Source organism: Homo sapiens, chromosome X (assembly GCF_000001405.40).
Source record: "Homo sapiens chromosome X, GRCh38.p14 Primary Assembly".
NCBI lineage: Eukaryota > Metazoa > Chordata > Mammalia > Primates > Hominidae > Homo > Homo sapiens.
Window position 1 is genome coordinate 45,022,977 of NC_000023.11, and position 13,808 is coordinate 45,036,784.

General features: G+C 37.6%; 1 protein-coding gene across 25 annotated transcripts in view; it reads left to right on the top strand.

Moving 5' to 3' along the window:
* Window positions 1-13,808, top strand: part of KDM6A (lysine demethylase 6A) — a 239,592-nt gene that overhangs the window by 149,789 nt on the left and 75,995 nt on the right. For all 25 annotated transcript variants that reach the window (NR_111960.2, XR_007068200.1, NM_001419809.1 and 22 more), the window contains one exon: window positions 11,955-12,009. Coding sequence is in view for 22 of the 25 variants with exons in the window: in NM_001419809.1 (NP_001406738.1) it covers window positions 11,955-12,009 (55 nt within the window). In the remaining 3 variants the exon portion in view is untranslated. The remainder of the gene's footprint in view (window positions 1-11,954; window positions 12,010-13,808) is intronic.

The window sequence follows — 13,808 nt, forward strand, 5'->3', positions numbered from 1 at the left end:
TGATGATCATTTCATGTAGGAGAAAGATCCTGGTTGCCTGTTGATCTCTTCAAAAATACTTCACCTTGCATCTTATTGGCCAGAAATAGGCCACATGGCCATTCCTAATTGATTTCTTATCAAAGGAAATGTGGTTGCTCTTAGACTAGTTATGCCCAGTCTTTGAGAATTGTTCAAATCTGTAAGTAGTTGTTATCCAGTGGAGGGATAGGGTGGGTAAAAAGGATATTTTGGTATGGGGAGTGGTGTGAACAGTCTGTCCGTTACAGATCAGATCTTCTCTATCCCATTTCCTTTCCCTCTGCCCAAGTGTGTATAATACTTTTTGGATGGTAAACTATTTAAATAAAATACAGCGTATTTTCATAATAGATTCCTTTTTTTTCCTCCCAATATGAAATGAATTGTAGGGCCTCCTGTTGTGTTTCTGTCACTGGTGATAACTTTCTCACAAAATGTGTCTCTGAAATTCTGTGTTGGTGCTGTGTAAACAGCTCTCAGAGCAAACCAACTTGGTTTTCAAAACTTTGACCCTGCCGCATATCTTCGTGACCTTGAGTAAGATTTCTGACTCTTGATTTTCTCTGTGTCTGAAGAACTAGAATAATTATAGCCACCCACATGATTGATATAAAGGTGAATATATGTGTGTGTTTGTTTTTATATGTGTGTAGTTTTATATCACTAGTTTTGGGGGAACAGGTGGTGTTTGGTTGCATGGAAAAGTTCTTTAGTGGTGATTTCTGTGATTTTGGTGCACCCATCACCTGAGCAGTGTATACTGTACCCAATGTGTAGTCTTTTATCCCGCACCCCCTTGCCTCTCTTCCCCGAGTCCCCAAAGTCCATTATCTCATTCTTATACCTTTGCATCCTCATAGTTTAGCTCCCACTTCTAAGTGAGAACATGTGATGTTTGGTTTTCCATTCCTGAGTTACTTCACTTAGAATAATGGTCTCCAACTCCATTCAGGTTGCTGCAAATGCCATTCTTTCCTTCCTTTTTGGCTAAGTAGTATTCCATGATGTATATACCACATTTTCTTTATCCACTCATTGGTTGATGGGTATTCAGGCTGGTTCCATATTTTTGCAATTGCAAATTGTGCTGCTATAAACATGTGTGTGCAAGTGTCTTCTTTATATAATGACTTCTTTTCCTCTGGATAGATATCCAGTAGTGGGATTGCTGGGTCAAATGGTAGTTCTGCTTTTAGTTCTTTAAGGAACCGCCACACTGTTTTCCATAGTGGCTGTACTAGTTTACATTCCCACCAGCAGTGTAAAAGTGTTCCCTTTTCACCACATCCATGCCAACATCTGTTATTTTTTGATTTTTAAATCATGGCCATTCTTGCAGGAGTAAGGTGGTATCGCATTGTGGATTTGATTTGCATTTCCCTGATCATTAGGGCTGTTGAGCATTTTTTCCCTATGTTCGTTGGCCATTTGTATATCTTCTTTTGAGAATTTTCAATTCATGTCCTTTGCCCACTTTTTGATGGGATTATTTGTTTTTTTTTCTTGCTGATTTGTTTGAGTTCCTTGTAGATTCTGGATATTAGTCCTTTGTTGGATGCCTAGTTTGCGAACATTTTCTCCCACTCTATTGGTTATCTGATTACTCTGCTGATTATTTATTTTGCTGTGCAGAAGCTCTTTGGTTTAATTAGGTCCCATCTACTTATCTTTGTTTTTGTTGCATTTGCTTTTGGATTCTTGGTCATGAACTCTTTGCCTAATGTCTAGAAGAGTTTTTCTGATGTTATCTTCTAGAATTTATATCTTACAAATAAATAGTTTCAGCCCTTCTTTAGTCTCAGTTATCTATCATGTAAAACAACCATAATTGGGGGCCAGCATAGATACTGTTGGAGAAATAAATGTTCCTGTCTTAGAACTTAATCCTTGTATTTTTGTCCCTCTGCCCATCCTCAGAAATGTGAAGCTAATGCTCAGCAAACTTTATGATCCTATGGTGTTATTTTTACATTAAATTGACCAATAAAGATTGTATGTGTTTAGTGAGCAGTGGAGATACCAATTCTTAATTCGTGAACTAGTTTAATATTATCTGAACCAGAGTCCATTTCAGGGTGACAGGTATTTTGTTGTTTTTCTTCTCTGCTTCAGCTAATATCCCCTAAGGTGGGTTTGGTTGCCTAGTTAATGCCATACAGTTAATTCAGGATTTTTTTTTTTTTGAGACGGAGTCTCACTCTGTTGCCCAGGCTGGAATACTGTGGTGTGAACTCGGCTCACTGCAACCTCCGCCTCCCAGTTTCGAACAATTCTCCTGTCTCAGCCTCCCGAGTAGCTGGGACTACCGGCATGTGCCACCACACCTGGCTAATTTTTGTATTTTTAGTAGAGACGGGGTTTCACCATATTGGTCAGGCTGGTCTCGAACTTCTGACCTCAGGTGATCCACCTGCCTCAGCCTCCCAAAGTGCTGGAATTACAGGTGCAAGCCACCATGCCCAGCCTAATTCAGGACTTTTATTTCATTATCCTTTAATGATATTAATGACAGTTACTTATTTTCAGTATATATTTGAAGCAGTGTGCTACCATTACTTTAATAAAAGGATATTACTGTTGACAGATAGTTTTATATAATGTCCCTAATTTTCACATCCTGGCAGACTATTAAAATTATTTCCTTCATGTGAAGAATAAGATACAATGACACCCTTATTCTTCAGTCAGTTAATGCCTGTGCATCTATTTAGAGGAAGCTTATATAGGAATTTTCCCTAATGTTTACATATTTAAATATTCCTAAACTATGTCAACTTAGAACTCTTTTGGGATTTTAAAGTTAGGTAACCAAAAAGGGTGCCTTTTTTATGGAAACCTGTAGATCATTGGCTGAGATGCCAATTTAAGTCCCCTTTTATAATTTGGTATTTGAATATGATAAGTGCTGATTGAAGGGGTTAATGTGAAAGGGATAGGAAGATGAGAATTATGGAGACAGTAAATGTTTCAAAGGAAATGGATTGAACTCAAATGAGACTTGTGTGTTAGCTTGCCATTTTACTGGGTGTTGGTGTTTCTTGAATGGGTAGATAAATAAAATGGAAGAGGCTATAAAATGAGAAAATGCCTACTTATAGAACAGGCTGGAAAATTTGAAGAAAAGAAAAAAAGCTGGTTTTATTCATCATCACTTAACAGAATTTTTTTCTATACAAACTGACACTGCAGTTGTTTTTTCCAGATGGCTCAGTTCACCAATTCATGCAGTATGCTTGCCATCTTATTATACTCGACATGAAACTTCTGAGTGAAGTGGCAGCTCCACTGTCTTTGTACCATACTCTTCTTTAGGAACTACTTCATTACGAGGTGTCTCATTTGATCTTCTACCCTGTATAAACTCAGGAATTTTATTGTAATATTTTTGATGCCAAGATATTTAGGCAGAAGGAATACATGAAGACATGATCATGTATGTGTACCTCCTTTTAGAAACCGCTTTTGAAATCTGAAATGCCTCCTGTCTTTTATTATTTTATTCATGTAGAATGCACAGATCATTTGTTTCATATAATTAAAATATTGTGGGCCGGGCGCAGTGGCTCACGCCTGTAATCCCAGCACTTTGGGAGGCCAAGCGGGTGGGTCCCCTGAGGTCAGGAGTTCGTGAACAGCCTGGCCAATATGGAGAAATCCCGTCTCTACTAAAAAAAAAAAAAAAAAATTTAGCTGGGCATGGTGGCGCGCCTGTAGTCCCAGCTACTCCGGAGGCTGAGACAGGAGAACTGCTTGAACCTGGGAGGTGGAGATTGCAGTGAGCTGAGATCGCACCATTGCACTCCAGCCTGGGCAACAATAGCGAAACTCCATCTCAAAAAAAAAAAAAAAAAAGATACTGTGAACTTTCTGTATTTTAGAAATAACTTGCTGAGTTTGAATGCTAGCTATTAAATTAATTTTATCCATGCCTTATGTTTCTAGAATATTTGTAATGTTTCTTTATTGACATTTTAATAGTATATTTTTGTTAGTTCAGTAGTCTGAAGATAATGAAAGTTTAGGGCTGGGCACCATGGCTCATGCCTGTAAACCCAGCACCCAGCACTTTCGGAGGCTGAGGCGGGTGGATCACCTGAGGTCAGAAGTTTGAGAGCATCTTGGGCAACATAGTGAGAGAGAGACACACACACACACACGTTTGTTAGTTCAGTAGTCTGAAGATAATGAAAGTTTAGGGCTGGGCTCAGTAGCTTATGCCTGTAATCCCAGCACTTTGGGAAGCTGAGGCAGGTGGATCACCTGAAGTTAGAAGTTTGAGAGCAACCTGGGCAACATAGTGAGACACACATACACACACACACACGCAACATAGTGTGAAACACACACACACACACACACACACACACACACCCGCCCGTCTCTTAAAGAAAAAGTTATTATTTCTCCATACTTGCTCTGCCCTATTTCCTTTATGATGCTCAATAGCTCTCACCTCTTTCAGCTGGCATTTTGAAAATTTTAATCTTGAGTGGTTTGATTTGAGAGAAAGAATGGAGGAAGGCATCTCACTCATATGACTCAATTTTCTTAGGGGATTAGAAAAGTCCTATCCCCTTGCCACCCCCAACAGCTTGGAATAATTGGTGGTAGTTATAAAACTATAAGATTTGGTGTTTATCCTGAGATTTGGCTTAGAACATGGGACCGGGAAGGGAAAGAAATTCTTCAAGAAAGGATCTACAGAGTATTGGCATATCATGGAAGCTGCATTTGTAGAATCTTCATAGGAATTGGTTGGGATGTAAAAATGGTGAGGCCTAATCGTTGTTTTTTGGTACTTTTTTTTTTTTTTGAGACGGAGTTTCACTCTTGTTGCCCAGGCTAGAGTGCAATGGCGCGATCTCGGCTCACTGCAACCTCTGCCTGCCAGGTTCAGGTGATTCTCCTGTCTCAGCCTCCCGAGTAGCTGGGATTACAGGTGCATGCCACCACGCCCGGCTAATTTTTGTATTTTTAGTAGAGATGGGGTTTCATCGTATGGTCAGGCTGCTCTCAAACTCCTGATCTTAGGCGATCCGCCTGCCTTGGCCTCCCAAAGTGCTGGTTGGTCCCTCAAAGTGCTGGGATTACAGGCGTGAGCCACCACGCCCGGCCTGTACTTTTTATTTAATGGATTTCCTCCTGGAGTAACAGCAACACCACACAGCAACAGCAAACTAAGTTTGGGGCCAGAACCACAAATTAACATCATTTTTCATTGCTACCATGTTTAACATTTAAAATGCTTCACTGAGGCAGTTCTTAATACATACTATTTTTGGATAAACCACCAGGCAGATACCAAAAAATATTAGCACACTATTCTGGTCATCTTAAGAAAAGAAGAACATTCTTTTTTAGTATTAGTTACACTGTGTATTTCTTCCTTTGGTATAACTGTTGGTTCTTTATACATAAAATTCATATAGTCAGATTTTGCTTGGCTTTTTATGGTTAGCAGTAGATTGGATTATGATTGAGGAAACTGCAACCCAGTTTATTTTCTTTGATTTAAATCTTCCTTTTCCTTTCAGTCATTGACAGTAGAACTCAGTTTCACCTGAGTGTAACATCACTGTTCCTTTTGGCAGAGGATGGTCATTGCTGTTTATTTTGTTTTCTACTTTTTCTCACTTGTAGAAAATAATCATCCTTTCTCTGTTCTTTTCTCTTTGTACTACTCGTCAGCTTGTACTTTACCAATTTCCTAGATAATAGTTTCTGATACGAGGCAACCTCCTAATTAATTTATCTGGCCACTTAATAATGCTTTCTCTATTTCACTCTGCCTGCCCAACTTTGGTTTTCTGTTTGATATTATTTCTGCCCTGAGTTCTATAACGTGCCTTCAAGTGTGAATTAGTAAAAGTGGCCGAAATACTTCAATACCTGCAAAATGCATGTTTGAAAAGTACATGGCTGCTCATATATGTGCAGTAACACCATTCTTTCTCTTTGAAACTGAGGAGTTAGGGTGATTCTAGGTTCCCTGTGTTACAGTTTCTCTCTTCTAGTATATTTTAACTACAGAAGTCATTTCTAAAGTGATTTCTGGTGCTAACTTACAACAACTTAAGGGCGTTATAGATATTTGGTCTTCAAAGGCAGCTTTATAAAGCAGTCACTGTATTGTCACATTTAGAAAAAGGTTGTGTGGCTGGGCGCAGTGGCTCACACCTGTAATCCCAGCACTTTGGGAGGCTGAGGCGGGTGGATTGCCTGAGGTCAGGAGTTTGAGAGTTGCTTGGCCAACATGATGAAACCCTATCCCTACTAAAAATACAAAAAATAAGCCGGCATGGTGGCAGGTGTCTGTAATCCCAGCTACTCGGGAGGCTGAGGCAGGAGAATCGCTTGACCTGGGAGGCGGAGGTTGAAGTGAGCAGAGATCAAGCCATTGCCCTCAGCCTGGGCAACAAGAGCGAAACCCCATCTAATAAATAAATACATACATACATACAAAATTTAGTCGAGGGTGCTGGTGTGTGCCAGTAATCCCAGCTACTCCAGAGGCGGAGGCCCAAGAATCGCTTGAACTGGGGAGGTGGAGGTTGCAGTGAGCCGAGATTGCACCACTGCACTCCAGCCTGGGTGACAGAGTGAGATTGTCTCAAAAAAAAAAAAAAAGTTATATTTTAAAAGGATATTCTACAGTGCAAATTTTTGCAGTATCCCCCTTTATAAAACATCATATTCACCTTGTATTAGTTATTTGTGTACATATCAGTCTCAAATATGAATACAAATTGCTCACTAGATAGAAATACCTTGGAAATTAAGTTGGCTCATATTCTGATCATTTTGTGTACATAGGTTAGATGCAAACTAGGACCAGTTTTTAAAAATTTCTAGTCAGTTGCATACCTATACTTTTGTAAAGTATGATAGAAATGAAGAGTTGGAAGACTAGGTAGGATACAGCTACAGGAAGAAAGATGAGCAAGAGCTGTAAGATAAATGGTTGCTCATAGGATGGATGGGGGCAAGGTAATGAATGTATCCTAGAGATCTTAAAGAGATTTATTAACTGACTTGATGTGGGAAGAGATTCCCATTTACGGGCTCAGACCACTTTACTATGTTAAATAAAGTAGGGGATAAAGAAAGTAGCAGCCGGTTTTGGGTTTAGGAGGTGAAAAGGCTCTGAATGGCGATAAGTCATTTGGGAGTAAATTGATTTGGAGGTACCTGAGGGATATCAGATATTCATGCACACAGACATAAATCTGGAGCCAAAAAGAAGAGCTAGAACTAAGATTTTGAACATCTTCAGTATACAGTGCGTTTTGTCCCCCACCCCCCACCCCTTTTTTTTGTTAAAGAAATTTTTAGAAAAGACCGGCTGGTAAACTTCAAAAAAGAAGCCTCTTTTTTGAGCGAAGATTGTCAGGATTTGTTAGCTATTAGCATGTCATTGGTATGCAGTAGATTCCCTCCTGGAAACAGTTGTAATAACCTTGTATTACAAAGAGTATCAGAACTGAGTTTTGAGGGCTTTGGGAGAACCTCAGTCAGATCATCTTGACCAGGAACGTGGCTCACAAGCCCTACCAAAACTTAGCCGTTTTCAGTTCTGTATCTTATTTTAGAGACCACATTTTTAAAGTAAGTACCATGGCATCCTAGGGCATTTCCCTATTCTTACCCATAGACTATTCATTTTAGGAATCAAGTTTGTTGGTTTTAATTTATACTTTTATTTTATTTTTTAATATTAATTTTATTTTTTTGAGACAAAATCTCACTCTGTCGCCCATGCTGGAGTGCAGTGGTGCGATCTTGGGTCACTGCAACCTTCGCTTCCTGGGTTCAAGCGATTCTCATGCCTCAGCCACCTGAGGCATGTGCCACCATACCCTGCTAATTTTTGTATTTTTAGAGGAGACTGGGTTTTGCCATGTTGGCCTGGCTTGTCTCAAACTTTTGGCCTCAAGTGATCTGCCCGCCTTGGCCTCCCGAAGTGCTGAGATTATAGGTGTGAGCCACCATGCCCTGCCCTAAATTCATAATTTTAGAAATGTGGCAGTCTGTAACAATGAATAAGAAAAAAATGATTTATCTTTGACATGCAACAGTACCTGGCACACCTTTCCTTTTCTCACTTAAATGGTCATTATAACCCTGTTTTATAAGGCTCTGTAAAAATAACTTCAGTGGTTTCCTCAGCCTGAAGTAACTCTTTTCTTACTTTCCTCATCTATATCTTTTTGGATTCTGTTATGGAGTTGTCTTTCCTGTGTATTCTCAGAGCAGGTTAAAATTTTAAAAATCCTATTAAGGCATTAATTTCAGTGAACATTGTATTCTGTAGATGTATAGCCATAGAAGCGTGCCTGGCATAGATAAAAGCTGGTTGCCAGCATGTCAGTCCTAAAATGCCATGTTTCTACCTTAATTGGATATAGACAGCAGTATCAACTATACATACCTTGTTTATATAGTCTGAAATAAAGGTTTCTGGGGCAAGCACATAATTTAAAAACTTCAAAATAGAATAGTGTGGTTTAACTCTGTATATTAGAATAGCTTGCATAAGTTTTTTTTCTGGTTTGCAGGTTGTTGCCTACAACCCACTGAATCAGAACATTCTAGATTGGTACTGGAATCTAAACATTGCTCCAAATTAATAACTTATAACCAAATACATAATTTGTCAATTGCAAAAAGTTATCCCATTGCTTGTTTTCGGGATTGGGAATATAGTTGAAGGGTTCTACAAGTAAAAAGATTCATGAGGTAATCAGACTATATACAGCTAGAAATAAAACAATTTAAAGGGAAATAAAGTCTTGAAACTCAAGTTTTATGTGTTAATTACATGAATATAGATTTCTCCCCCCTCCCCATAGAAATCAAGTTCCATTGGCTGTATTAGGCAAAATACTATAACATTATTTTGAAATATTGAACACGTTGAAGGCTTTTAAAACAAAAGGTGACTTTGGTGATAAAGATGTCAACAGAAATAGTAATGAATCAAACTTTGCGTTAAATTGGGCCAGAAGTGCTCCATAAAAAGAAAATCTCTATAACATTAAAAAAAAAAAGTCATAAGTAAATCTTCTTGCTTGGAAACTAATTTTCTGTAGACTGCTTTCCGCCTTCAGGTTTGTATATAGTCTTTGAACTGCAGAGGCCTCTTCTGCATAATAATTATTTCACACAGCAGTAGCCAGTTTCAGCACTGCAGTATTTCAGTGTGAGGCACAGATGTTTCCTAGCTGCCTCTGTTGGTTGCAGGGAAAGGTGCTGGATATTTTACCATGGTATTTTCAGGTTTGTGGGCTGGTTATCATAATTGATAGTCCTTTCTACTGGTGTATATGTTAATAGGTATATCTATTTTGCATCTGGTTTAGGTCCTGGAAATGAGGCTTTGTGGTCATGTTATCCCTACCCCGGTTCTTCATCTCTCTTGAGAGTGCTGAACGGCATATCAGTGTTTTTCTTTATGTGGAACGGTGTTGTTAGTTTCTTATAAACACTTAGTAATTATTCTGTAAGTTCTTTCATTGTCATAGTGGATGTTTTTGAATGTGTATTCGTGTTTTTTTTGTTTTTGTTTTTTGAAACGCATTCTCATTTTTTCTGCCACAGGCACCCGCCACCATGCCGGCTAATTTTTGTATTTTTAGTAGAGATGGGGTTTCATGATGTTGGCCAGGCTGGTCTCGAACTCCTAACCTTAGGTGATCTGCCCGCCTCGGCCTCCCAAAGTACTGGGATTATAGGCGTGAGCTACTGTACCCAACCAATGTGTATTCTTTTGCTGAGTAATTTTCCTATGTCTTCACTGTTTGGAAATGTTTGGTATTTCATAGTGTTGTGGGTTTGAAATGGTGCATCAGTAACTTGATTGCTGCGTTTAAGATTGTTTTATAATTACACAAAACATGGTCAAGAAATACTCCTGCCAGGTTTCACTGCAGAATCTTAAATTACTGATAGATGAAATGTAGGCTAGGCTGTTTGAATTCTACATCTCTATTCTTCCTTGTGGGGTTTCAGTGAAATAGTAAAACTAAAATATTGCCATATTGAAGGCCGTTTCTTCTCATTTCAGTTTGTACCCTTTGATGGCTCAGTTAGGAATGGTGGTCTGTGTTCTTCTATCTAAATATTTATGCTTACAGGACAAATTAGACTTAGAAATATAGTACAGTCTGAATGTGTGACTACTCTTGTGCTCTTTTTGTCTAGAGGAAAGCAATTGATTATAAAGCATGCTTTGCTTTCATAGTACTCAAACGTTTTAAAATAGTCTGTTCTCTATTGCTATGGTAGCACACTAAAGGGATGTTTGAAGACACAGTCTGCTTAGTAGGCCAAGGGAAAATAAAAGCAGTTTTCAAAGTGTTCAAATGTTAGATTTTTTTCATTCAGTCAACTATGGCAAATGATTTTTCAGTTTTATTTTGTTGACCATTGCATCCCTAGTGTCTGCATTGTCCTTAGGGCATTATAGACTCTTGACCCATTGAGAAGATGTAATCAGCTTTAAGTTTAAGAATATTACAAGTGTTGGTCAGCCTAATTATGCATGCACATCAGAGACTTTTATTTTATTTTATTTTTTTTGAGGTGGAGTCTCTGTCGCCTAGGTTGGAGTGGAGTGGCACACTCTTGGCTCACTGCAATCTCTGCCTCCCGGGTTCAAGGAATTCTCCCGTCTCAGCCTCCGGAGTAGCTGAGACTACAGGCTCTCACCACTATGAACGGCTAATTTTTTATTTTTAGTAGAGATGGGGTTTCAGTATATTGGTCAGGCTGGTCTTAAACTCCTGACCTCAGGTGATCCACCCACCTAGAACTCCCAAAGTGCTGGGATTACAGTCGTGAGCCACCGCACCTTGCCAAGAGACATTCTTGAGTGAATACATTAATAATAGCCAGTGTTCATACCAAGTGATGTTTTCTAATTTTCCTTCTTTGTGACTTTTGGGTAGCCAACATCAATAACTCTTTAGATTTTTGGATTGTGGATAGGAATGAATTTATTATGGTCATTTTTTTTAATGCTTTCCACTTTAATTACTTTTAATGCTAAAAATTTGTGGAGGCTCAGAAAATTTGAATATATATTTGTAGGAATATTATTTAGAAGAGTTTAAAGAGATTTACTCATCTTTTTTAACTTAGATTTTATACCAACTCTATTACTTATCTTAATTTATATACCTTGTTTAATGTTGATAAACTAGATATTAAATGTCACCCAGTGTTCTTGATGATAATATGCGCTCCTAAAAATTAGTGTTATGCATTGATGTTAACGTGCTTATATGATATTATTACAAGTGGATTCTGTATTAGTGGTTTATTGTTGACTGGAAAATTATACAAATTCTATGCATATAATGTCACATTGTAAAAGGACAGTTATATTTGGTAGATGAACTTGGACACAGGCTATTTTAAAAGGCACTTAAGTACAGTGATTATTGAAAGATCAATAAAGACAGAAAGTTTTACCCTCTATGACAATACTCATAGTGATTTTTTTTGTTTCAGAAGTCCATGTCTCATTTTGAGATAAGCAGTGGTGTTCTGACAATACCATTAGACTTCTACTTGGATTTTCAAAAATAATGATATGTTCTCTAAATATTTAAACTGTTGTATAACACTTCCTGTTTACTTGACTTAAAAATCTTCACCTTTTTCACATAAATAAAAATATACATAGGATAACTTGATAAAATTAATTCTTTTTCAAATTCTCCATTCTCAGCTGTCTCAAGAAAATAACCCCCACAGCATGTCAGTTGTCAGCAGTAAATGTTCAAAGTATTTCTAGTTGGTAGGCTAGTGTATTTTATTTGCATAGCATGTATTTATTATTATTTTAGACCTTACATACCTGAAAAGTATCTTAAGATGCTTTTGTGTGACTCTAAATTGACTGCATTAATTTTCTCACTCTCGTCTTGCAGCATTTTCAGTTAGCTTTGGTTGACTGTAATCCCTGCACTTTGTCCAATGCTGAAAGTAAGTATTATTAAGTACTGTAGTTTTCTACATGTATTCCGATCACTTCATGGCAAATAACAATAATGTTAGTGATAAATTCTGTGCAATTTTTTCTTTTAGAATTGTTTAATGTAACTGTATTGGTTGCCATGGCTACTTACATAAATGGAACCTGCAAGACCAGATATTGTGAACAGCCTGTGTCTAAAATAGATAGGCCAGTGAAGTGAGTTGTTGAATTAAAAGTATCTTCACTAATAAACAAGATTGATTTTTCTCTGTCGTGTATTATATTGTAGATGACTTGGTAGGATTAAAAACAGGTTTTGCTGGTCTTTTAGGAAACATGAGTATATAAAGATTCTTATCTGATAGCTTACTGATTCCTACTGCGTGGGATAAAAATTATTGGTAATTATGAAGACATTTGTGACTTTTATGATAGTTTTATATATCATTTAGAAAGCTTGAGTTGACATTTTTCAATTAATTAGAAAGGAATACATTTACGAAGCATGTTCTAACAAAGTATTTTTTTCCAAACAATTATTTTCTGCTTCTATGTAGGTGTCTTTTCAAAAGCAGATTGGGTTGATTATATGTTTATCGATATGTATTTAGGTATATTTATTTAATATACACTAAAGTATCCAGTAAAAAGGTTTAAGAATATTCGTTGATGCTAAATTTCTTAAAAACCTTCTTACTTGAAAAATAAATTATTATTATTATTATTATTTTCTTTTTTTTGAGATGGAGTCTCACTCTGTTGCCCAGGCTGGAGTGCAGTGGCGCGATTTTGGCTCACTGCAAGCTCCGCCTACCGGGTTGACGCCATTCTCCTGCCTCAGCCTCCCAAGTAGCTGGGACTACAGGTGCCTGCCACCATGCCCAGCTAATTTTTTGTATTTTTAGTAGACATGGGGTTTCACCGTGTTAGCCAGGATGGTCTCGATCTCCTGACCTCGTGATCCTCCCACCTCGGCCTCCCAAAGTTCTGGGATTATAGGCGGGAGCCACCGCGCCCGTCCGAAAAATGAAATTTTTAATTGGTATAAGAAAAATCGAGCAATTAATGACAGTTTCAGTCATACAAAGGATTCCGGGTTTTAGAAAGTCAGTGTTTTGCTGTAAGTTACTTTTTTGTTTTTGTTTTTTGTTTCATTTTGAGATGGGGTCTTTCTCTGCCACTTAGGCTGGAGTGCAGTGGTGTCAGAGTAGCTCAGCTACAGCCTCCAACTCCTGCACTCAAGCGATCTTCCTGCCTTAGCCTCCTGTAAATCACTTGAAAGAGTATAGAGAGATATTAGTGAAAAGTAGTCTTAGTCTTTAGAAATGCCCTAGGAAATTGTTGAATCAGCGAAAACTCTGTAGAATTTTCAGTATAACGTGGATTAAGAAATAGTATGGATTAAATCATCATTTAAGCCAGATGAATTATGTCATACTTTTACTAAAGGTAATTTCCTGTGAAAATCTAAAGGATTTTTACTTTCTTAAATGAAATTCAGGATCCAGTACTGATTAGGGTGTTTGTAGAATAAACGGTAGAATAATAACAAATGCAGCAGTATTTTATAGTTTCTAATATAAGGTTAGATTTGAAAAAATTGACTCATTGGTTTAGTAATTTATAAAGTTTTAATTTATACCTTTTTCTTAATTATATATCCAGGTTATAAACCATCTAGAATATATAGATGCTTAAAATTCTTTTCAAATTAGTTTACGAGAATAAGAAAACAACCGATTATCTTTTAATTCATTATGGTCTAGTACCTAAAAGGTAACTTTGGTAAGTCAGTTGAATGATAACT